This window comes from Homo sapiens, chromosome 11, assembly GCF_000001405.40.
Source record: "Homo sapiens chromosome 11, GRCh38.p14 Primary Assembly".
Lineage (NCBI taxonomy): Eukaryota > Metazoa > Chordata > Mammalia > Primates > Hominidae > Homo > Homo sapiens.
Genome location: NC_000011.10, coordinates 113,771,239 through 113,796,017, shown reverse-complemented (window position 1 = coordinate 113,796,017; position 24,779 = coordinate 113,771,239). Strand labels below are relative to the sequence as shown.

General features: G+C 44.1%; 2 protein-coding genes and 3 pseudogenes across 3 annotated transcripts in view, besides 2 other annotated features; 1 reads left to right on the top strand and 4 right to left on the bottom strand.

The window, feature by feature from the left end:
• On the bottom strand, positions 4,266-4,552 carry LRRC37A13P (leucine rich repeat containing 37 member A13, pseudogene; annotated as a pseudogene).
• Positions 4,565-5,980, bottom strand: ATF4P4 (activating transcription factor 4 pseudogene 4; annotated as a pseudogene).
• LOC390251 (SH3 domain containing GRB2 like 1, endophilin A2 pseudogene) lies at positions 6,021-6,880 on the bottom strand (annotated as a pseudogene).
• CLDN25 (claudin 25) lies at positions 15,533-16,222 on the bottom strand. The gene has a single exon (NM_001101389.1). It carries the CDS (start codon positions 16,220-16,222, stop codon positions 15,533-15,535), a length of 690 nt encoding a protein of 229 aa, NP_001094859.1.
• Positions 22,136-22,195: an enhancer, noted in NCBI's record as "active region_5542". NCBI's record gives its function as "activates an Ori minimal core promoter by ATAC-STARR-seq in GM12878 lymphoblastoid cells {active_cell/tissue: GM12878}" and the evidence as "EXISTENCE:reporter gene assay evidence [ECO:0000049][PMID:35858748]".
• Positions 22,326-22,595: an enhancer, noted in NCBI's record as "active region_5541". NCBI's record gives its function as "activates an Ori minimal core promoter by ATAC-STARR-seq in GM12878 lymphoblastoid cells {active_cell/tissue: GM12878}" and the evidence as "EXISTENCE:reporter gene assay evidence [ECO:0000049][PMID:35858748]".
• Positions 22,326-24,779, top strand: part of ZW10 (zw10 kinetochore protein) — a 40,506-nt gene continuing 38,052 nt past the window's right edge. For both annotated transcript variants that reach the window (XM_017018558.3, NM_004724.4), the window contains exon 1: positions 22,326-22,456. In XM_017018558.3, the coding sequence (XP_016874047.1) occupies positions 22,352-22,456 (105 nt within the window). In that variant the 5' untranslated portion in view covers positions 22,326-22,351. The remainder of the gene's footprint in view (positions 22,457-24,779) is intronic.

Below are 24,779 nucleotides of genomic sequence, written 5' to 3'. Positions count from 1 at the left end.
TTATTGGGTTTCATTGTATGACCATATTCACCATTTATTGTCCTTTGAGCTTCCCATGTTTGGCTGTTAATGCACAATCCTACCAAGAACATTCATTGTACATGTCTTGATGCACACATGAATGCATTTCTGTTGGTGTATAACTAGAAGTAAAATTACCAGGTCATATAACCAAAGTGGTTATACCAGTTTGATCCCACCATCGGTTTATGAGTTCCAGTTGCTCCATATGCTTGTCAACATTTGGTTTTATCAGTATTTTTAATTGTAGCCATTCAGGAAAGTGCGCAGTGATAATCTTGTGATTTCAATGTACACTTCCGTGAATACTGACAACATCAAGCATCTCTATATACTTACTGGCCTTTGGTCATTGTTTTTTGTAAAATACCTATTTAGGTCTTTTGTTCATTTTTGTTGTTGGATTTATTGTCTCTAACCTATTGATTTATAGGAGTTCTTTATATCTGCTAGCTATGGAGCCCTTATTGGTTGTATGCATTGCATGTATCTTCTTCCACTCTGGCTTTTCACTCTTGGTGTCTTGATGAAAATAAGTTTTTGATATTAATATATTTGAATCTATTCATCTTTCCTTTCATGGTTAGTGCTTATCATGTCCTCTTGAAATTATTACCCAAGGTCATAAAGATACTCTGTTACCTTCCGGAAGTTTCACCTTTTTTTTTTGAGACAGAGTCTCACTCAGTCACCCAGGCTGGAGTGCAGTGACAGGATCTCGGCTCACTGCAGTCTCTGCCTCCCGGGTTCCAGCGATTCTCCTGCCTCAGCCTCCCAGGTAGCTGGGATTATAGGCATGTGCCACTAGGCAGGGCAACTTTTTGTATTTTTAGTAGAGACGGGGTTTCACCATGTTGGCCAGGCTGGTCTCGAATTCCTGATCTCAGGTGATCTGCCCGCCTCGGCCTCCCAAAGTGCTAGGATTACAGGCGTGAGCCACCGCGCCCAGCCAGGTTTCACCTTTGATAGTTGATTGACCAAGCCCTGTTTATTGAGAACATCATCCATTTTCCAGTGCCTTGCACTGCTACTTTTGTCATAAATCAGATGTGTTCACAGGGGTCTGTTTCTGGGCTCTTTTGCCTGTCCCATTATCCTGTTTGTCTGCTTGTACCAATATTGCACTTTTTTTTTTTTTTCTTTTTTTTTTTGAGATGGAGTCTTGCTCTGTTGCCCAGGTGGAGTGTAGTGGCGCGATCTCGGCTCACTGCGACCTCTGCCTTAGGGTTCAAGTGATTCTCCTACCTCAGCCTCCTCAAGTAGTTGGGACTACAGGCACATGCCACCACACCCAGCTAATTTTTGTATTTTTAGTAGAGATGGGGTTTTGCCATTCTGGCCAGGCTGGTCTTGAACTCCTGACCTCAGGTGATCTTCCCACCTTGGCCTCTTAAAGTGCTAGGATTAGAGGCGTGAGCCACCGCACCCAGCCTTCACACTTTCTTAATTAGTTTAGCTTTGTAACAAGTCTTTATTTCTTGATTTCTGGTAAAAAAAAAAAAACTTCCCTCCAGTTTGGTACTTCAAGATTGTCTTGGCTATTCATTTTTTGTTTGTTTGAACAGGGTCTCGTTGTCACCCAGGCTGGAGTGCAGTGGTATGATCATGGTTCACTGCAGCCTCAACCTCCCAGGTTCAAGTGATCCTCCCACCTAGGCCTCTTGAGTAGCTGGGACAACAGTAGCTTGCCACAACACCTGGCTAATTTTTGTATTTTCTGTAGAGATGGAGGTCTTACTATGTTGTCCAGGCTGGTGTTGAAGTCCTGGGCTCAAGTGATCCTCCCAGCTAGGCCTCCCAAAGTGCTAGGATTACAGGCATGAGCCACTGAGGCTGGCCTCTTGGCTATTCTTGATCCTTTGCATTTTGGCATAAATTTTAGGATCAGTTCGTTAGTTTCACACATGCACACACAAATCTGCAAGTATTTTTGATTAAGTTTACAATGACCAGAGATAATTTGAGAAAAACTGATATCTGCGTGGTATATCTTATTTTTTAAAGGTTTTTCTTAATTTTTATATAAAGGTCTTCCACCTCTTCCAAAAGATTTATTCCTGGGTTTTTTTAAGTTTTGACATTCCTGGTAAATGTCATTTTTCAGATTGCATTTTTGTTTCTTCTCATATCTAGAAGTGAATTGATGTTTAATAGTTCAGAAGATTTTTTAATATACATAATTATGTCATCTGTGAATGATGACTTTTATTTCAAATTCTTACAATTTTTATTTTTCTTGCCTGATTACACTTACTAGGACCTTTGGTACAAAGCTGAATATACAGATGGTGAAAAGTGGGCATCTTTGTCTCCTAGTATCTGGTGGGGGGGGTTCAATATTTCACCATTAAGTATGCTGTAGGTTTGTTGTAAATTCCACTTATTAGGTAGAAAAAGATTCCTTCTGTTACTAGTTTGCTGAGTTTTTTTTAAGCTTGAATTTTATCAAATGCTTTTATTTATGTCAAGATGGTTACATAGGTCTCTTTATTCTGTTAATGTGTGAATTACATTTCTTGATTTCCAATGTTAAACCAGCCATGTGTTGTAAGAATAAAGTAAATTTGACCATGATATTTTTTATATGTAGGTGGATTTTTGCATGAATATTCATAAGACAGATTGGCCTTGTATTTTCATTTCTCATAATGTGCTTGTTAAGGTGTTGGTGTCAAGATTATTCTGGCCTTATTGAATGCATTGGCAAGTTGTCTTGTTTTCTATGCTCTGGAAGAGTGTGGGTAAAATAGGGTTATTTCTTCCTTGATGATTGGAAGAATTCATTGTTGAAGCCATCTGAGCCTGGAATTGTCATTTTGGTTTGTGGGAATGCTTTTAATTACAGATGTAGTTTCTTTCAGATATGTGGGGTTTTCAGATCTTTCTGGTTGCTTCTTTGTATCAGTTTTGGAAAATTATTAGAAGTGTATCCATTATATCTAAAATTAAAATTTTATTTACAGGAAGTTCATAATTTTATCTTGTGACTATTTGTTTATTTATTTAGAGACAGAGTCTTGCTCTGTCACCCAGGCTGGAGTGCAGTGGTGCAATCTCGGCTCATTGCAACCTCCGCCTCCCAGGTTCCAGCGATTCTTCTGCCTCAGCCTCCTGAGTAGCTGGGACTACAGGCGCGCACCACCACGCTCAGCTAATTTTTGTATTTTTAGTAGAAATGGGGTTTCACCATGTTAGCCAGGATGGTCTCGATCTCTTGACCTCGTGATCTGCGCGCCTCAGCCTCCCAAAGTGCTGGGATTACAGACGTGAGCCACCGCGCCCGGACGACTTTTTATTTCTAATTAAGGTCTGTATAGTAATATCTGTCTTTTGTTACTGATATTGGGTGATTTGTATCTTTTTTGTTTTCAGTATTTTGCAGTCAGTCTTTTCAGGGGTTTATTAATTAGTCTTTTCAAGTAATTATTTGCTTTGTTTATTTTTCTCTTTTATAAGTTTTTTTCCTGCTTTTTTAAATTATTATTTTTTTTTTTTTTGAGACAGAGTCTCGCTCTGATGCCAGGCTGGAGTGCAGTGGTGCGATCTCGGCTCACTGCAACCTCCGCCTCCCGGGTTCAAGCAATTCTCCTGCCTCAGCCTCCTGAGTAGCTGGGACTACAGGCGTGTGCCACCATGCCCAGCTAATTTTTGTATTTTTAGTAGAGATGGGGTTTCACCATGTTGGCCAGGATGGTCTCGATCTCTTTACCTCGTGATCCACTCGCCTCAGCTTCCCAAAGTGCTGGGATTACAGGCGTGACCCACCGCACCCAGCCCTTTTTCCTGCATTTTTAATAAAAAACTCTTCGGTGGTGGTCGTTAACCTTGGCTTCCAATTCAGAATCAGCTGTGTCACTTTAAAAAATAGAGCTGCTGAGGCCTCAACCCTACAGATACTGAGTTGTTAGACTTGGGCTGGGCCATTGATGCTTTTATGGTTTAAAAAGCATCACAGGTGATTCTGATATACAGTCACAATTGAGACCTACTTATTCATATAACTTTCTTTTATTTTTCTTTTCTGAAACTGTCTCACTCTGTCACCCAGGCTGGAATGCAGTGGCATGGTCATGGCTCACTACAGCCTCAACTTCCTGGGCTCGAGCGATCCTCCTGCTTCAGCCTCCTGAATAGCTGGGACTACAGGCATGAGCCACCATGCCTGGCCTATAGAACTTTTATACCTACTAAAAAAAAAAAAAAGATTTTACATTATCATCAATACTTTATGGTTTTATAAAAAGTCTGTAGAGAGGCTTGGTGGAGACGGTGTTTCCCGCTACCTTCTCAGGCCCCTGCACTATGTGAGGCTATTCCAGCTCCCTCGGGGCTGGACCCTCAAGCCTTTTTTCTTTGGCAGCGTTGTCCACAAATGCCTGGGCATCCTGTTCTTTCCTAGTGCTGTGCTTTCCCACCTCTTTGAAGTGCCTTTTCTGGATGCTCCTTGGGCCCATGAGGACTCTGTTTACTGTCTGAAGGTTTTTGCCTAACTTTGAATCTGCCAGGCTGTTTTCCTGTGGTTGGACAGTTTCTTTTTTTTTCCCCCTACAAAATAATTTATTGGAACACACAGCTACAGCAGAGGCTCCATGTACAAGCACATTGACGCTCCTGACTACCGTCAACTAGGGGACCCTTTTCTTCCCCCTTGTCTTGCGGACCTCTTCTATCAAATCTTTCAGGTACTGGATCTCCTTGGCCAGGGAATCCGCCCTCTCTTTTAGAGCCTCGTTCTTCTTTTCCAGCTCTTTGCACTCACCAGTGAGAGCCTCCTGCTCCACCCTCTTCTTCTGGCGGTACCCAGTGGCTGCTGTCTTGTTTTACTCCATTTTTTTCAACTTCTTATCCAGTTTCTCACCCTTTACTTTTGCTGCTACCATCGTCTCTCCAGGAGGATTGTAAGGTTTGGGGCGGGCAGACCCACAGAGAACACCTGGAGATGGGAGGCTCCTATTTGGAGAGCCCCTGGTAGAGGGGCTATGCTGAGGAGACCCTAGATAGGACTCTGGGCTCATACAGATGCCACTATCATTATCTGAAGGGGTGTCTTCCTCCTTTATGCACTGAGGGATCATGGCAACGTAAGCAGTGGAGTCTGGCTTCCTATCTCCTTCAGGATATCCACTTCACTGCCCAGCTCTAAACTAAAGGAATGACCTGGAGTGGAGGACAGGACCCCTGGGGAAAGGGGAAGAGGTTGCAAGAAGGTGAAGGGGGCAACCTGGTCGGGTTTTGTTAAACTTCCTGGGAGATGGCCAATTGGGTTCACCGTCTGGGGGTCTCCTTATTAGTCTCCTGGACTAGGGGGGCAAAGAGATCACAAGTGTCATCCAAAGTGGTCAAAAGTTCATCTGGCATGGTTTCCAGGTTATCTATACCCAACAGGGCATCAAAGACGAACTCCTTCAAATCCATTTTCTCCAACATCCAATCTGTCCCGGAGAAGGCATCCTCCTTGCTGTTATTGGAGGGACTGCCTAACCCATCCACAGCCAGCCATTCGGAGAAGCCCGCCTTAGCCTTGTCCCTGGAGAACCCATGAGGTTTGAAGTGCTTGGCCACCTCCAGGTAGTTATCTAAGAGACCTAGGCTTTCTTCAGCCCCCAAACCCGACTGGTCGAAGGGGGACATCAAGTCCCCCACCAATACCTCGCTGCTCAGGAAGCTCATTTCGGTCATGTTGCGGTGCTTTGCTGGAATCGAGGAATGTGCTTAATTCGAAGGTGTCTTTGTCGGTTACAGCAACGCTGCTGCTGAATGCCCTGAGAAGCGCCATGGCTTAAGCCGCTGGGGGGTGCCGCTGCAGAGCCTGGTGCTGCTGCCGCCGCTGCAAAGGCCAATGCTGCCACAGGTACTGCTGCCCCTGATACGCCATGGTGGCCGTGGACCCTGAGGGCGGGAAGGAGAGAAGGCGCGCACGTGCGGAGAAAACTGCATCTGCGGGCGGGCGCAGTAGAAATGCGGTTGGACAGTTTCTAGTTTGTTTTCAAATATTTGATGTGAGGAAGATTTCCGCATCCTGCGCTTGAGCTTCGCTGCCAGCTCGTCTAGGATCTGCAAGGCCTGCCAGTGGTAGTACAGCTGCGCCTCCACCAGGACCGGGAGTTGACTCACCTGCTCAATGTCGGTGTCCAGGACCGCATGCTGGTTTCTGCTACCTCCTTGGAGTCCTCAGACTTCTCCAGCGCCTGGCGCAGCTCCTCATCGGGGATCTTGTCCTGCCGCTTCTTTTAGTCTAAGTCCAGGCGGCGGCCCTCCAGCTTCTACAGGTGGTGCTGGATCCCCTTCAGGTCTTTCTCACACAGGTTCTGGAGGAGGTCAATGAAGTTCTGCTTGACCTCTATGTCCAGGGAGTCCTTCACCTCTGCCAGGTGCTTCATGGACTCGCCGGCATCCAGCAGTGCGTCACTGAAGTTGGACTCGTTGCCTAGCTCCTTCTGGTGGCGGATCAGGCACTCGCTCAGGAGCCCCTCCGACTGCGGGTAGCCGGGGTTCTTCACCTGGCCCCGGATCTTGCACACCGCGTTCAGCATGGTCAGCTTAGCCTGCGAGGCTGGGTTGGGCTGCAGGTACTTGATGGTCCTTGCCAGCATTTCCGTCACCGCCTTGCTGATGACATCGCCATCTCTTTGAAGTCATCGTCCAGCTTGGTCCCCTCAGCCCCTCCGACCTTCTCACTGACCAGCTGGCTGGCCTTGTAGAACTGCTTCTTCAGCCCTGCAACCTACATGCTGCCTCCCGCCGCCGAACCTCCCTCCCGGACCGCGCCAGCGACAAGCTCCCAGGCGCGCGACCCTATGCACGCCTCAGGGGCCCCACCACGTGCTTGCCAGCTCTGCGCCTGCCCCGGCGCCTCCTCGAGTTCATGATTCTTTAGTCTCCTTCAATCTAGATCTGTTCGCAGGATTGTTTTAAAGTATACTGACAAAACTTTGAGACTGTAAGTGACCTGAGATATACATTATCCTTACTTGAGAATAGTAATTTTTCAATACGCATTAAAGATCATTACACATGAGCCAAGAAAAAAAAAAAGTCTGTAGAACCTCCTTCAATGATAGATTAAAGGTTACATACCTTTTAAATTAATACTTTTTATCTCCTGCACATTCTTCATGTTAAACTTGACTCTAGTGGAGATATAGAAATATATATATATATATAATTTTCTGTATAGTTAGCCTTTCCTTTAATTACCAAAAACCCATCAGTTCCTTAAGGTTTTCTCATAAGTTGAAGTTCTGAGCTAATCAATCATTACATTACTTTTTCCTGAGCCTTTAAAAAAATTCTCTACCTTCTTTTTAAGTTGTCGAACAATAAACTGACACATTGACTTACTATAAGTCTGAGTAGAACTGGCTTAAGAGAGATATGTGTGTGTGTGTGTATAGTAAAGGGACACAAGCATAGGTGAGAATTAAGAGATTTTAAGGATGTTACCATGTCTTCCTTTTAGCACCCTTGGCTGGGCGCAGTGGCTCACGCCTGTAATCCCATCACTTTGGGAGGCTGAGGTGGGTGGATCACTTGAGGTCAGGAGTTCAAGACCAGTCTGGCCATCACAGTGAAACCCCATCTCTACTAAAAATACAAAAATTAGCCAGGTGTGGTGGTGGGCGCCTGTAATCCCAGTACTTGGGAGGCTGAGGCAGGAGAATCGCTTGAACCTGGGAGGCGGAGGTTGCAGTGAGCAGAGATCGCACCACTGCACTCCAGCTGGGACAGAGTGAGACTCTGTCTCAAAACAAAACAGCACCTTTGATTGCTGCGTTGCCCATTAAGTTGTTGGCTAGTTATGATGACCCCACAGTCTCCTTGTTGTGTTATCTGATTGCCATTTATAGACAAGAGAATAGAATCTATTCCAGGAATGGATCCAACAAGGCACAAATCTGGCCTCTTTCTTTTCAAAAGAAGATAAGCCTGGGTTGTCCCTGCTATCCTAGCAGGACAAGAAATTATCATAATCAATGAGTAGGAATATTAACTTCGAGTACAAGTAGAGGTTAGAAACCATCTGAAGAATTTAGATGACTTGGAATTGATAAGCTGGCACAAAAGTGGTACCCAGGAATGCCAATAGTGAGCTCTCAAAATTAAATATTTGCTGGTCCTGATATGAGTAGAATTCATGGAGGGATGGTTGGTTTTCTATCCAGAGTCCTGGTGATGGGCTGGATGTTTCACTGCATGGTGAAGATGATCTTCCCAAATTAGCACTTAGATTTTAACAGCCAGGGCAGAATCTCTAGTGATGACTTGAAAGTAGCATTGTCGTTCACAAAGTCATCTCGACTATCTCTACTTATGGAATAGCCAGAGCTCATTCATAGGTTAAGCAGTTCTACAGCTTTCCTGATAAGTCATTACTGAATCAGTATGTCTTATAAGATGTGGTTCCATGAAAAGAATAGTGACATTGGAATCTGACAGATCTGAGTTCAAATACTGGCTGAACCTTTTTTACTGGTCTACAAAATGAAAATATTTACCTGGGGGCTGTGTTTTAAGGGTTAAAGAAAAGAATAGACAGCAATGACTCAGTGTACAGATGCAGAGATGCAAATGCAGTTCTCACAGGGAAATTCATCATCTGGGCAAGAATTTTAAGGGTTATCCTGAACTGCATAGGGCCCACAGGTGGGTTTTAAATAATTGGAGTTTTTTATCAAGGTATCCAGGGAGCTATGGGCCTCTGGCAAGTGGATGTGTTCATATTAGCCAGTGTGACTGGAAGACAGTGTTATTGAAGGGATTGGGGCTTATGCTTGATATAAAAATTGCAGTATTTCAGATCTGATTGAGCTGAGTGTGATGGTGCATGCTTGTAGCTTGAGATACTCCAGAGGATGAGGCAGGAGGATCGCTTGAGCCCAGGAGCTCAAGATTGCAGTGAGCTGTGATCGCACGACTGCATTCCAGCCTAGGCAACAGAGTGAGACCCTGTCTCTTAAAAAAACAAAAAAAAAAAATCCAGATCTCTGACTCTTATCCTGTTTTAGATATATTTTTCTTTAGTCATCTTATTGAATGGCCTAAACTTGATTGATAGGGCATGATGAGTTGACAGCTTTATTTTTGTTTTTACTACTACTTTTTTTTTCTTTTCTTTTTTTTTTTTGAGACACAGTCTTGCTCTATCGCCCAGGCTGGAGTGCAGTGGCACGATCTCAGCTCAGTGCAAGCTCCGCCTCCTGGGTTCACGCCATTCTCCTGCCTCAGCCTCCCAAGTACCTGGGACTGTAGGCGCCCACCACCACGCCCGGCTAATTTTTTTATTTTTAGTAGAGATGGGGTTTCACCGTGTTAGCAAGGATGGTCTTGATCTCCTGACCTCGTGATCCGCCTGCCTTGGCCTCCCAGAGTGCTGGGATTACAGGCGTGAGCCACCGCGCCCGGCCTTTTTCTTCTTTTTTTTGAGACGAGTCTCGCTCTGTTGCCCAGGCTGGAGTGAGTGCAGTGGTATGATCTCAGCTCACTGCAACCTCTGCCTCCTGGGTTCAAGCGATTCTCCTGCCTCAGCCTCCTGAGTAGCTGGGACTATAGGTGTCTGCCACCACGTCCAGCTAATTTTTGTATTTTTAGTAAAGATGGGGTTTCACCATGTTAGCCAGGATGGTCTTGATCTCTTGACCTCGTGATCTGCCCGCCTCGGCCTCCCAAAGTGCTGGGATTACAGGTGGAAGCCACTGCGCCCAGCCCACTATTACTTTCAAAATGATCTTTCCCTTCCTTGCTCCTTGATAGCATCTAAAAAAGATCTCAAAGGTTTATTGTCATGTGTGAGTAGGAAAACAGAATTATTTTCATGTATGAAAGAGCCCAGACTAATCTCAATCTAAATTCACTCTCATTCATTTCAGTCCGTCTCAAAAAAAAAAAACAACAAAAAAACCCCAAAACTGTCATTGTCTAGATGCAGTGGCTCATGCCTATAATCCCAGCACTTTGGGATGCTGAAGTGGGAGGATCACTCGAGCCCAGGAGTTCAGGGCCAGCCTGGGCAACATAGTGAGACCCTGCCTCTGTTAAAAAATAAAAATTAAATTTAAAAAAACCTGTCATTTATAATAGTCTCTTGATTCAATGTCCTTTATTATGACAGGAACCCAATTACTAGGTCTTGTTACTAGGTCTTGTAGGGGGCATTTTATGGGCTTTTCAGAGAGCCCTGTAGAAAACCTTCACAGGCCATTCATTCCCTGATGTCTTTGGGTTTTCTGGCTGACCTCTTATCATTCCTCTTGGGTCCTGCCCTAGTCATCCACACTTTCCAATGGCACTTTGGAACATCACCCCGATTGCCTTCTTCACCACCCATTTGGGTATAGGACGTTCACCACCTTGTCCTAGTAAAAGGCAGAAGTGCAGGTGCTGCTGCTGGCCCACTCCAACAAGCCTCCTGCTTTCAGGCTGCTTCAGTGGAGGTCACACACCTGCCTCTAGGCTTCTGCCTAGGTTTTCCCAAGAGCTTTCTTGGGCTCCATTCTGGTTGCAGCAGGAGCGGGCCCACGGAGTTTCTGTGGCTCAGCAGGTTTGGGATGGGGGGTGTCTCAGATGCCAGTCTTCCCTCCTGGGAACAACTTGGATCTGCAAGTGGCTTTCTCAAGGTCCACCTCCATCCCATTCCTCACTAGGAAGGACAGAGAACATAATAATACTCTAGACTGTTATGAATTCCCTTCCAGGAATCCTCCCTTAGTGTGTCTGGACTCTTGTCTCCTATAGGATGTTGGGAGTGAAGGTGGACCAGTTTGGACACCTCTTAGCAGCCCCTCTCTTTAGAATATAAGGCACTGTCACCTATGGGACAGGGCTTTGAGGCTTTACTCAAAACTCTGGGCAACAGAAAAGTTCGTTCCACATCCTATAAATGTAGATGGGATCATGACAAAAACAACTGGGTTAAAAAATAATCCATCAATTGATGGAGTAGAAAGGAAACTACATCTTCTTTTAGTTCCCTGTGAGACCAGTGACTGCAAACAAACATTTTCCTAACAGAGTTTCTTATTGTCCTAATCCTGGCTGCGAGGACACGTCTCCTGGCCAGAAGCCCGTGAAACCATTTTGACTTCTTTCCCATTCCCAAATCAGGTTCCCTTAAGACTTTTCCCTAGAGCTAATTCAGAAGCTCAGAAGGGTTACAGATGAGTATTTTAATAGAGACCTTCTGGAATGCCTTCACTCCCAATGGTGAAACTTTCAAACCCAAAGATAGTTTGATGGAGAAGATAGCACCAAGTTCCTAAACTCTAACTGCATCAAATTTGGTGAATCCCTAAGTTATATTTTCCTCCACTACCTTGCACAATACTTCTGGCTTGAAATAGTGATTGATTAATGTTTCTTTCTCTTTCTGATACATATGACTACACACCTCTCCATGTGTAACCACAATAAAGAAATGTTTTTGATGTGAGAATAATCTGCCACAGATCTATATGACAAAAAGCTGTGTTGAAGTTATGATTTAATTAGTTCTATTTTTATTTCTCATTATTTTCCCCTTCAAAGCAGGTGGCTAACAACAGTGGCAGTTTTAGGTGAACAGCATCTCCTTCCTCAAACTCTTTCTCTAAATGTGGATTCCCACTAGACTGCAGATCACATTCCCTCTCAGGGAAGGACATGCTGTTGGCCACATGGCCAGTATGTCATCAAGAGTTTCTACCCACACCCATTTAAAAAATTCCTTTTGTCCTTTATAAAGAGAGTTGGGAAGACAGAATATTTTCTTAACAAATCTTTAGTGTCCATTTCTCTGCAGAGGAAGCCATAATCACTTGCTGATGAAAAAATATTAGCACCTGCAAATGCGGGATTCAGGTGAGGGCTGCAAGCCACCAGCAGGAGCAGGTGAGCCACCTGGCAACAAAGACCCTGTTTAAACCTCAACATAAGCACAAAGGAGGGTTTTATTTGACGGTCTTTGGTTTTTCCATCGACTTCAGTGAGAAGCTTTTTTTTTTGTTTTTTTTTTTTGAGACAGAGTCTTGCTCCGTCGCCCAGGCTGGAGTGCAATGGCGCGATCTCGGCTTGCTGCAACCTCTGCCTCAGCCTCCTGAGTAGCTGGGATTACAGGCACCTGCCATCATGCCCAGGTAATTTTTGTATTTTTATAGAGACAGGGTTTTACCGCGTTGGCCAGGCTGGTCTTGAACTCCTGACCTCAGGTGATCTGCCTGCCTCGTGCTGGGATTACAGGCATGAGCCACCACGCCTGGCCTTTGGCGAGAGTTTTTCCTTTGGTCTGGTAGATTGTCTAGGCAACCCATCCCATGAGGCCATAGGATAAGGTGAAGAAAGACTGCCATGGTGCCAAACCCTGGCTTCAAGTCTTGACTCAGTTAATTACTCACCATGGGCATGTCACCTAAATTCTCGGCATCTCATTCTCCTCAGTAGCAAAACTAATAATATCTGCTCTTCCAAAACTCAAAAACATTTCAAGATATGTTCAGTAAAACTACCAAAATTTGTAGAAGTGCTTTGTACACCTGCAAGCCCAACACAACCATGTGATAAGGAAATTTCACAGAGACAAGTCATTAGACAAAGGAGAGCAGGTTACTGTTGCAGTCAATTGGAAGCCAAGCTCCTGTTCCCGGACCACGTGCTTGGCTTCCCATGGTCCTGAGAATAGAGACTATGTTCCTTACTGAGGCCTACAAGGCCCTACAAGGTCTGGCTTCTTCCTACTTTGCCAGCTTCACCTTATGCGTCTTCATCTCCCCTCCTCATCTGGAACTGCTACCCACCCTTTATTGTTCAGCCAGTAATCGCTTCCTTTGAGTACTGATCCGTGAATCACTGACTAGGTTAAATCCCTCCTATTGCATGATTTTTTTATGTATATATATTTTTCTCTTTTTTACATTCATAAAGGTTGATTAAACTATTGGATGATCTTATAGAACCATGTCCCTTTCCAAATTTGTAAAGGTTGTCAAAGTTACTATTTACGTTTATTTGAGTGATTTTACATTAATATTTGTCTCCTGGCTGGGTGCGGTGGCTCACACCTATAATCCCAGCACTTTGGGAGGCCGAGGCGGGTGGATCACTTGAGGTCAGGAGTTGGAGACCAGCCTGACCATGGTGAAACCCTGTCTCTACTAAAAATACAAAATTAGTGGGGTGTGGTGGCACACACCTGTAATCCCAGCTACTTGGGAGGCTGAGGCAGGAGAATTGCTTGAGCCTGGGATGCGGAGTTTGTAGTGAGCCAAGATCGCACCATTGCACTCCAGCCTGGGCAAGAGCAAAACTCTGTCTCAAAAAAAAAAAAAAATTATCTCCCTAATTTGCCTGAATGAGGGACAAGAATATATTTTGTCTTACCATTTTATACTGGTTCCTAGCACATGGTCAGTGCTCAATAAATATTTGTTAAGTGAGTGAATAAATGATCAGATGGATGAATAATAATGAAATTATTCTTTCATGTAGACCCTGGAAGGTCAAGAAAATGCTTAGATAATTGAGCCTCACCCCTGATTGAAACTTTGTCCAAAGAGCTTTGAAACTTTATTGAGAAGGAGTAGCTAATAAAACAGACATTGGAAACCATTTTCTGACTTACCAGACACAGAAAGCCAGAATACACCTTTGATGCAAACTGGCCCTTTGTACTCAGAGCTGTATTTGCCTAGGGATCATTTTGATTTGTGCGTGCCAAGTAGACATACACAAAAGGACAGGCATAAAAGGAGAAGGAGCTTTCTGGAGAAACTGTGACTTCAAGAGAAATCTGCTCTGGGTAAGAAGGTAAGAGTTGCAGAAGATGAAGTTGCACCTGTGCAGACTCCATTTCAGCAGGAAAAAAAAAATGGCATTTTTCTAAGGAGGGAACTGTCCTGGGCTACTTTGGCAAATTTTTTTACTCTTGTGTCATAGTCTGTGTATTCTTGCTTGAGCAATGGCTATCTCGTGATATTGGGGCTATTTTATCAGGAGGCGAGAGGCGTTGTGAGACCTCAGAGCTGAGATGACAAAGCACAGCACCAGCTTGGGGAGGGCGGAATGTCCCTGGTACTGTGAGGAATGCAGCACGCCTCTGAACCTGGAGAAGTGACCTACTTAGGGCATTAGGAGCCATCCCCTTTAGCTGCTCTCCTGAGGGAATTGTTGGCAGGGCCAATGGTGATTCTTGAACTGATTACAGGAGTGGAGGACAGGTGGCAGGGAGAGGAACAAGGTGGATGCTGCAGGATAATTGCAGCTGACAAACAGGTTTATGAGCAACAGGAGGCTCCTCCTTGAGGACCTGCAGAAATGCCAGAGGAAGACCTGAGGTGGGGTAGTCAGGAGAGAGCCTGCCATTGCAGGCAGAGCAAGCAAAGGAACTTAGGTTATCGTTATGGAAGGGACTTGATTTGTAGCCACAACCTGGGTAGGTCTGCTGACACTCAGGTTAAAATTTAAGAGGAGGCCAGAAGTTTGATAACAGCCTGGGCAATATAGCGAGACCCCATTTCTACAAAATATTTTAAAAATTAGCTGAGCTTGGTGGCTCATGCCTGTAGTCCCAGCTACTCAGGAGGCTGAGGCAGGAGGATCCCTTGAGCCTAATAAGAGTTTGAGGCTGCAGTGAGCTATGATCATGCAACTGCACTCCAGGCTGGGCAACAGAGTGAGACCCTGTCTCAAAAACAAAAACAAACAAACAAAAAAACACAGCAAAACAAAATTCAAGGAGTTTATACTGTGATTTTGCACTTGGTAAAAGACATTTCTGAGAAGCTACTTCTTTCATATACATGACCACATTGGGCAGTATTTGGACACAGTCATTCTAAGGTAATCACTGGGTCCCAGTTTGCTTGGGACTTTCCTAGTTTTAGCACCAAAAGTACCTTGTTCTGGGCAAACCAGGAGGGTTGGTCACCCTACCACTCACTCAGACTGACTGTTAACCTTCAGGTGGGGAAGACAGAGTAGACTGCTCATCGCCTCACAATGTAGCAGAAACAAGCCTATGTCTCTCCTTTGGGATATTAAGGATCTATAAAACAGCAAAGGTATATTGTGAAGTTGTCTTTCAAATGGTACACCTGAGGCTGAAAATGGACACAAAGAGAATTTCTGTCCTAAGATGCTGTTCTGGAACAATAATTCATTTTCCTTTGCCAAGGTACCTTCTTCAAGTTTTATTTTTGTAACCTATTCAGAACAGTAAGTGCCTCTTCACACTAGATTTTCTCTGATGGTTGCAATTTTGTAATATATTTTTCCTTAGTAATAAAAGAATCAAATATGTAATTAAGGTTATGAGTTTTTTAAAGCATTTTTATCTAAATAAAATCTCAAATCAGAAAAATACATTTGTTAGACACTGTGCCCTGATTTTTTATTCTGAAATGAGGACTACCATATCATCAAGACAATCACATCCTTGATAAGTGGGACAGTGACCACCAGCCCCAAAATGAAGCAAACAAACCTAGAGTGAGAAAGGAGTCTACAGACATTCCTTTATTCCAGAGATCCTTGGCAGAAGCCAGTCCTAGATGACCAGGTTCCTAGGTCTTAGCATGAGGTGGAAGGAGCCATCTGACTCCTCCACTGGAGCACAGGATAGGGGGACTGTGGGACCAGCCATCAAAGGAAAAGGCACATCTTCTTTTCCCAGGCAGGCCGAGAAGATGAGGAGTAGCCCACCAAGAGCCAGGAAAATACCAGCAGCCCAGCCCAAGTAGAGGGCACCTCCAAACTCCCACCGAGGTATGATGTCAGGGATGCTGTCATCCCAGAAGTCTTGGATTGTGGCATGGGCCACCCAGGAGACTGGAAGGAGGGTAGTGGCTGAAGCGGATGCCTCCAAAGTCCTTCCCAGGAGACCAAGCCGCCTCTTGAATACCCATCTGATCCTGTGAAACTGGAAGCATTCAGACCCAAAGCTGCAGAGCAAAAGCCCCAATAGGCCCAGCCCATGGGAGGCTACCATGAGGATGCGGGCTACCTGGAGCTCCTGGGGCAGAGACAAGAAGGATTCAAAGGCCTTGCACACAGTGGCGACTTCCTCTCGATCCACGCAGACCTCCCAAATCCCCATGATCCAGGTCTCCATCTCGTTCAGTTCCAGATTAAGAGTCTTCCACTGGGGCAGGATGGTGGTAACACAGGAGCAGACCCAGCCAAGGAGGGAGAGAAGTAGCCCCCCGAGCTGGACTTTTGCACGGAAACTCCAGGCCATAGTCACTCCCACCACAGATGCAGAAAGAAAAGGAGCACGAGTGGGTCAGTGACTGGTTAGCAGGGACTACTTTTCAGGAGGCTTGAGTGGAAGATCTTTCACATTGGGAGAGGGCTCTTGTTTCAGTATTCTGAGCAGCAGCTGAGGCAGGTGCCAGGAATTGGCAATGTTTGGGTTTAGAGGGTGTGTCCAATATCGGATGTGGGTGTGAAATCTGGGGGAGGGTCCCATGACCAGCAAAAAAGCCATACAGGGAGCCATCAATACATATTTGATGAATAAATTCATAAACTAAAATCACTCCTCAGCTCTGAGATCACAAGAATGATTGATGTTCTGGAAATATACGTTGATATAATCTTTTTGAAGGGCAACATGACTTTATGTTTCATGCTTTTAAACATATGCATACTTTGACCCAGCACCTTATCTCCAGGAATCTACCTAATGTATCATGAATACGTACAAAGATTTATGAAAATGTCCATTGAAATATTGTTAAGAATTGTCAGTTTTTGTTAATACTTGGCAGCCATTTTAAAGTGATTTTGTAGAAAGAATTTTAATGATTTGAAAAATATTTTTGATATATTGTTAAGTGAGAAAAGCAAGTGACCAAACAGTACATGGAATATATAGAATGCAGCCGGGCACGGTGGCTCATGCCTGTAATCCCAGCACTTTGGGAGGCTGAGGTGGGTGGATTACTTGAGGCCAGGAGTTCGAGGCCAGCCTGGGCAACATGGCGAAACCTCACCTCTACTAAGAAAGTGAAAAAAATTAGCCGGGCATGGTGACACACGCCTGTAGTCCAAGCTGCTTAGGAGGCTGAGGCAGGAGAATCTCTTGAACCTGGGAGGCGGAGGTTGCAGTTAGCCGAGATCATGCCACTACACTCCAGCCTGGGTGACAGAGTGAGACCCCATCTCAGAAAAAAGAAAAAGCCAAAGAATATATAGAAATATGTGCGTGTGTGTGTGCGTGTGTGTGTGCGTGTGTGTGTGTATATGTGTAGACCACAAAATGTTAACATGATTATTTTGGTGATAAAATTATGCATAGTTTTTATTTCCTTATTTGTGCTTACCTATGCATTTTACGCATTTTACACATTTTATAAATTTATCACTTAATATTTTTATTACAAAAAGCCCACAAATATTAATTTTACAAAATAATTTTAAATTCCTCAATCCAAGGAACCTACCCAGACACAGAATATCCCCAGAGGGAGGTGCTCCCTCCCCAGGCTCCCCTTGCTGCTGGGACAGCAGCTATAAATAGATGGTAATCATACCAGCTTCCATTCCTGTTTGTTGCTGCTGCCAAGTAGCAGGTTCTGACAGGAAAGGAAATAATTTGCATTTACTGAGTACGGCTAAATGCCAGACTTTTGGCTAGACACTTTATCCGTATTTAATTTTCACACTGCCACTGTGTGATACATGTTACGTAACTTGCCAAGGTCCCCCAGCTGGTAAACAACAGATCCAACACGAACCAGGCAGCTCAGACTCGGACATTTGATGTTCTTGTCCCCAGGCTGCAGCAGCTGCCCCTGCACACTGGTGACACATCATGTGGGTGAGGCTTAGTCTTTATAGCGAGACAGAGAAGAAAACGGACTTATTCTGTTGGAGTCATGAATGTCTGACTCATGTGTTTCCCTATTCACAAATTAACCTGCTCCACACTGTGGTAGATATGAAGTGAAAGCAAAGGTGTTCCTGAAAGGAAGATGAAGGGGTGGCCTGCCCCTCCACACCTGTGGGTATTTCTAGTCGGGTGGGACAAGAGACTGAGAAAAGAAATAAGACACAGAGACAAAGTGTATAGAAACAACAGTGGGCCCAGGGGACCGGCGTTCAACATACCAAGGACCTGCACCGGCACCGGTCTCTGAGTTCCCTCAGTTTTTATTGATTATTATCTTCATTATTTCAGTAAAAAGGAATGTAGTAGGAGGGCAGGGTGATAGTAAGGAGAAAAACACGTGAACAATAGAATCTACGTCATAATTAAGTTCAAGGGAAGGTACTATGACTGGACGTGCAGGTAAGCCAGATTTATGTTTCTCTCCACCCAAACATCTCAGTGGAGTAAAGAATAACAAGGCAGCATTGCTGCAAACATGTCTGGCTTCCCACCATAGGGTGGTTTTTCTCCTATCTCAGAATTGAACAAATGTACAATTGGGTTTTATACCGAGACATTCAGTTCCCAGGGGCAGGCAGGAGACAGTGGCCTTCCCCTATCTCAACTGCAAGAGGCTTTCCTCTTTTACTAATCCACCTCAGCACAGACCCTTTACGGGTGTCGGGCAGGGTGACGGTCAGATCTTTCTCATCCCATGAGGCCATATTTCAGACTATCACATGGGGAGAAACCTTGGACAATACCCCGCTTTCAAGGGCAGGGGTCCCTGCGGCTTTCCACAGTGCATTGTGTCCCTGGTTTATTGAGACTAGAGAATGGCGATGACTTTTACCAAGTATACTGCTTGTAAACATTTTGTTAACAAGGTATGTCCTGCACAGCCCTAGATCCCTTAAACCTTGATTTCATACAACACATGTTTTTGTGAGCTCCAGATTGGATCAAAGTGGTTGGGTCAAAGTGGCTGGGGCAAAGCTACAAATTAACATCTCAGCAAAGCAATTATTTAAAGTAGAGGTCTTTTTCAAAATGGAGTCTCTTATGTCTTTCCTTTCTACATAGACACAGTAACAGTCTGATCTCCCTTTCTTTTGCCTACAGAAGAGACATCTCCTGAGAAAGGAGGATCTTGAGTTTATCTAACTGATGGCTCAACACCTAAGACATCTGGTATACCAGTGTTTATCCGTGGTGTGAGGGTTTGGAGGAAGGCACACAGAATCATCTGAAGTGCTCTTTTCTCTTTTATGTTTTATTACAGAAAACTTCAAACATATACAAAAGTAGAATGAATTGTATAAAGAAATCCCATATTGCATCATTTCACTTCAAAAATTATCCACTCATCCCAATCTTGCTTCATTTCTACCTGCACCCAGCCCTTCCCTTTCATACTATTTTGAAGCAAATGGGTTGCTTTTTCAAATTTTAAGCGCCTTATGCTGCTTTTATAGCAACATGATGGCAAATACTGTGCAAACGTGGAAACGCTGTCTGATTGTACTGTCCTCTACCAGAAATATGCATTCGCTACTTTGCTTCTTGAATACAGGTATGTCATGTGTATGTGAGCCATGATAGGCCAGGAGGAATCCTTTCAGACTTTGCTCCTGACTTCCTTGCCTTTTCCTGATGATTTATGAACATCTGTGAATTGGGAGACATATAAGCCATGATAAATGTGAACTATGAAGAAGGTGAGGTTAATGAGGGAATACAGAACACATGCATTTATTAATTTCTTTTTTTAAATTCAAGTATTCATTCATTGCTGCATGCATTGACTGTGTGTAGCCATCACATTCCATGCTGCACGCTCTTTCTTCTCCTTTCTCAGCCTAACTCTGGCTCTTCCCTGACTTTTCCTTGGACCTTGAGGAACAGTCTTCACCTTACCCAGTAGTCTCTCTGCTCAGGAAGAAGCAAGAACTTAGGCAGTTGTGTTTTGTGGGTCTGTACACACAGGTTTTCTGGAGGGAGGTCCCAGAACCTCAACCTCAAAGTAGCACTTCCTTTCATTCTCACTTCAGATTTCTCATTACCGTTGTCAAAAGACAAAATTACAACGAGTTTAGTTTAAAGATCTTAATTCACTTTATTTGTGATTCTAGAATCAGGCAACACTTCATTCCATAAAGTAGAATCAGTGTCCCGATGAGCTGAACAGATGAGGTTGGTTTTATAGAAAGAAAAAGGCTGAAGAAAGGAGACACAAAGAACAAAAAGCAGATTGGCTGTTTCAAATTTAATTTCCTGGTAAGGTGGGAACTGAGAAACAGAACAATAGAAAAATAACTGATTGATTGGCATCAGTTTAGTTCAGGTACTTTTTTGTAAGAATTAAAACAGAGGGAACTTCGTTATCATGAAGACTGAAACTGGCAGGTTTGGGAATTTGGTGATTATCTCTCATTCTCCTGATTTCTCAGAAGGTCAGACAGACAGCTTAGTTTTGGTTTGGCGAAGTAGAGCTTTAGCATGAGTGACTCCATTTTGGTTTGGTCTGTTGGGCTTAGTGCAGGAACTCAGTCCAAAGTGATGGCCTCCTGTAAATGTTAACATTGTGAAACCTTTCTAATTCAGTCAGAGACTGGGTGCTCTTCCTCCAATATTTCCTCTGCCATTTGCATCTTCCTCAGGGGCAGATTAAACTTCACAGCTCATTACTTGCACAAGCCCCTTCTAAGGCTGACATCTAATTTTGTATTCATTATTTTATATTCTTTTCTTTAAAGAGTCCTTCCCCTCCCTGCAACTGTATAAGATTTAAGTTCCACTAAATCTAGATCCATCCCTCATCTACCTACAAATTAGTAATTATCATATTTTTCTGTGATTATATATTCACATGTTGTGGGTCCCCAGACCTAGCACAATGTCTGCTATGTGATAATTGCTTAATAAATATGCAGTACAAAGTTTCAGAATTTTCATCTATCAGTCATTCTTTGTCATTGGGCATTTATTATTAGTTGCAGTTAGAATTCAAAGTTGACAGGTCTACCAAAAAGAAATTGATTTGGTTTTCCAAGGAAGGGAGTTTCTCAGGATGTTTTGGCTGTTTTCAGTGCTTCCTCTCTCAATCCCAGTTTTGTTTCCTTTGCTCATGGCATGTGAATTGGCCCTTGCTTCACTGGGATAAGCAGATTGTCTCAAAGACACTTAACAATTGTCAGGGATCTTAGAGTCAGTGCCTACTTGGGGTCAACCCTCACAATATATCTTTTTAAAAAACCAAAAACCTTTTAATCAAAACAGTACATCTGGCTCTTGGTATCCACGGATCCAACCAACCACAGATCAAAAATATTCTGGAAAAAACTAATAAAAAATAACAATACAACAACAAAAAATAATGCAAATCAAAATACAATATAACGACTCTATAGCATTTAGATTGATTTGTATTAGGTCTTATAAGTAATCAAGAGATGATTTAAAGTGTATGGGGAGGATGTGTGCTGGTTACTTGTAAACATTACATCATTTTATGTAAGAGACTTGAGCATCCACGGATTTTGCTACTGGGGCAGGGGAGGTTTCTGGAACCAATCCCCCCATACCAAGGGAGGACTGTGTATGTTTACTGCAGAAAAATAGAGAAAGCAAGGGCAGAGAAGAGAATAAATACCATAAATCCACCACCCATAGGATAATTTGATGTCTGTCCTTTACATACATACTTACATACTTTTTGTTTTCTGACCAATGGTTATACACTTAAGTTTTTAAAAAGGAATCATAGTATACATAGAATATTGTGAACATCTTTCTGTATGCAATGCATTAAAATAATGAAACCATTTTTAAAAGCTTTTGACACATTTATATATTTATAATATGACAGAAAGTACTAAGTATCTTGTTCACACAGGACTAATATTATGTATATCTAAGTAATATAAATATGTAATGTAGGTAATGTAAATGTGTAATGTATCACGTAGATGTAATATATGTACATAGATGCAATTATAAGCAACCTTTTATTTATAATGAGGTGACGCCACTTCTTTACACAACTCTAGAGGGCGCCATTCGTAGATTCTGGTGCCACAGCGGCCCAATAAAAGTTGAGGAAAAAAGATCGAGATGGGCTCGTTGGCTCTTTCAGTTAGATAATTTTACAAGTAAGCCTTTTGAAGTTTAGAAAGGTTCAGTTAGACCTGGTTATTAAAAACGTTTAATTTCCTCCAGTGAAAAACGGGCGGGAAGCAACGAACTTTGAAAACAACTAAGGAAGAAAACGCGTCTGCTTACAGTTTGCCAACTACGGGACACCGTGGAAATCCCATCTCGGGATTGGCGCGGTGCCTGCTGGGAGTTGTAGTGCGCCCCTCGCCTTCCGGGCGGCGGTCTGAGGCCCGCGAGACTCCGTTTCCCGGCAGGCCTCGCGTCAAGACGGCCGGCGGGACGGGAGCTGCGGCGCTGGCTACGAGAGTGACCCAGTCAGCGTTGGTTCCCGTCTTGGCCATGGCCTCGTTCGTGACAGAAGTTTTGGCACACTCCGGGAGGCTGGAAAAGGAGGATCTGGGGACCCGGATCAGCCGCCTGACCCGGCGGGTGGAGGAGATCAAGGTGAGAGCGGGGCAGCTGTCTGCTGACTGGAAGGGGACTCCGGGTCCTTGTGTGAAGGGACTGGAGAGAGGAGTCAGGGGCTAAGGGCAGACAGAGTGGGGACCAGCAGAGTGGGGCCTGTTGGGGAGATCTAGTTGTGGGGGCTGAATGAGGAGTGGAGGGGCCCAGAATGTGTGGATTGAGGAGGGATCTTGGAGGGGAGCCCACACAGGGGTTGGGAACTGAGGAGGCGAGGAGACCTGGGACTGTGGGGACGAACAGGCGGTGGCTGGAGAGCACTGGAGAGTGGAGTTATGTTGGGGAGGGGTGTGCCGCGGGAAGAGGGAGACTGAAGAGACCAGCAGAGCGGGAGGAGCAACTGGAAGCTCCGAGGAAGCTAGGGAGCGAGCGCAGGAGAGGAATAGAAAAGACAGGATCCCCCTTCCCCTTCTTCCATCGATGAGTGTTTATTTCCTCCACCCACTCCTTGATTTGTTGATGAATAAAATAGCCTGGAGGATTGCACCTTTCTCCTCCCCGACATTAAAAAAAAAACAAACCCAAACCCTCAGTATGTTTTTATTTTTATGTATCTATCTATCTTTTGAGATGGAGTCTTGCTCTGTCGCCCAGGCTGGAGTGATCTCGGCTCACCGCGACCTCTGCCTCCCGGGTTCAAGCGATTCTCCTGCCTCAGCCTCCCGAGTAGCTGAGATTACAGGCGCGTGCCACCACGCCTGGCTAATTTTTTTTTTTTTTTTTTTGTATTTTTAGTACAGACGGAGTTTCACCATGTTGGCCAGACTGGTCTCGAACTCTTGACCTCAGGTGATCCACCCGCCTCGGCCTCCCAAAGTGCTGGGATTACAGGTGTAAGCCACCGTCTCCGGCCTCTTAATGTGGTTTTAAAACTTCATCTACAAGCACATGAAGCTGTGCTGAGTGTCATTGGTACCTACGTAAACGTTGCTGCCTTGAGATTGATACAAAAACTGGAAGCACGTAGCCACACACAGTTTTGCTTTGTACTGATATTGTTACCTTGCCAGTATTTGTCCACATCTTCAGTTGCTTTCATTTAAAATTTTGTGTATCTGAGTCAAGTAGGGTTTCGAGGGAGCAAGTTTGCCACACACCATAAGGGCACAGGTATAACCCTTCCTAACAGCTCTTGATTTTACAAAAGTAGTTTCCTGAATTTTAAGTAGTCATATCCCTGACATCTCTTCTTTAATATGGCTTTCGGATTTTTCACCACTGTTTAATGTGATGGAAAGAGGACAGGTTTTTAAGTTACTCTAGCATGGCAAGCGACCCTAGCTCCTGCGTGTTCTGGACCCAACATGCCTTTCTTTGCTTTCACTAGTTTCCTTTACCAACTTGAATCTTCAGCCAATTGAGAATTACTTTCTCTGCTCTCCCTCCCTTTTTTAATCCCATATTTTGCTTATGTTGCCATTTTTCCATCTTTACCTGTAGTATTTTTCAAACCCATTTTTCAAGTTCCATTTCAAATGTCTCCTGCATAAAAAAAAATCTTTATCTTCCCTCAGGGAGAGGGGATCTCTTTCTCATTTGTGCTCCTGGAAGGCTTTGTAACTTTGTTGCTGTATTACATTTCAGTCCTGTATTCTTGTTGCTCAAGTATATAGTATCTTTACTACGTAGGAATTTGAGGGCAAGCATAATTTGTTCTTTTTTTTAATTCATGTATTTATTCCTCTGTCAAAATAATAATTTAACAAAATTAGCCAGGCGTGGTGGTGTGCGCCTGTAATCCCCAGCTACTCTGGAGGCTGAGGCAGGAGGATCGTTTGAACCTGGGAGGTTGAGGTTGCAGTGAGCCGAGATTGTGCCACTGCGTTCCAGCCCGAGGGACGGAGTGAGACTCCATCTCAAAAAGAAAAACAAAATCAATTTAAAGCCATCACATTTTTAAAAGATAAAGGAGAATTTGTGGCACAGCTGCATTAACAAAACAAGACACCAGTCTAAAGTGCAACACTAAACAGGTGTTCTCTCTTCCCATGGTGGAATACATACACACAATTACACGTAAGATTTCACTGAAGATATGGAATGAGGCAAATAACCCTTTGAAATGAACCACCCAAGGAATAGAGACAGGCTAAAAATAATTTCTTTTAAGATTTTACTGTAAGATGGACCCCCTGCCCCCACTCCAGCCCAGGTAAGTACTAACTCAAACCCCTCATTTTATGTGCATGGCCTTGGCTTCTGTCTTCTTTCCTCAGCCACATCCAAATCCAGAAAGGCTTCTGTACCCTATGCTCAAAACGCAACCTCAGCCAGGTGCGGTGGCTCACGCCTGTAATCCCAGCAC

What these genes read in the sequence shown, in the direction of transcription:
- CLDN25 (NM_001101389.1), bottom strand. Translation starts at nt 16,222, where the DNA reads ATGGCCTGGAGTTTCCGTGCAAAAGTCCAGCTCGGGGGGCTACTTCTC.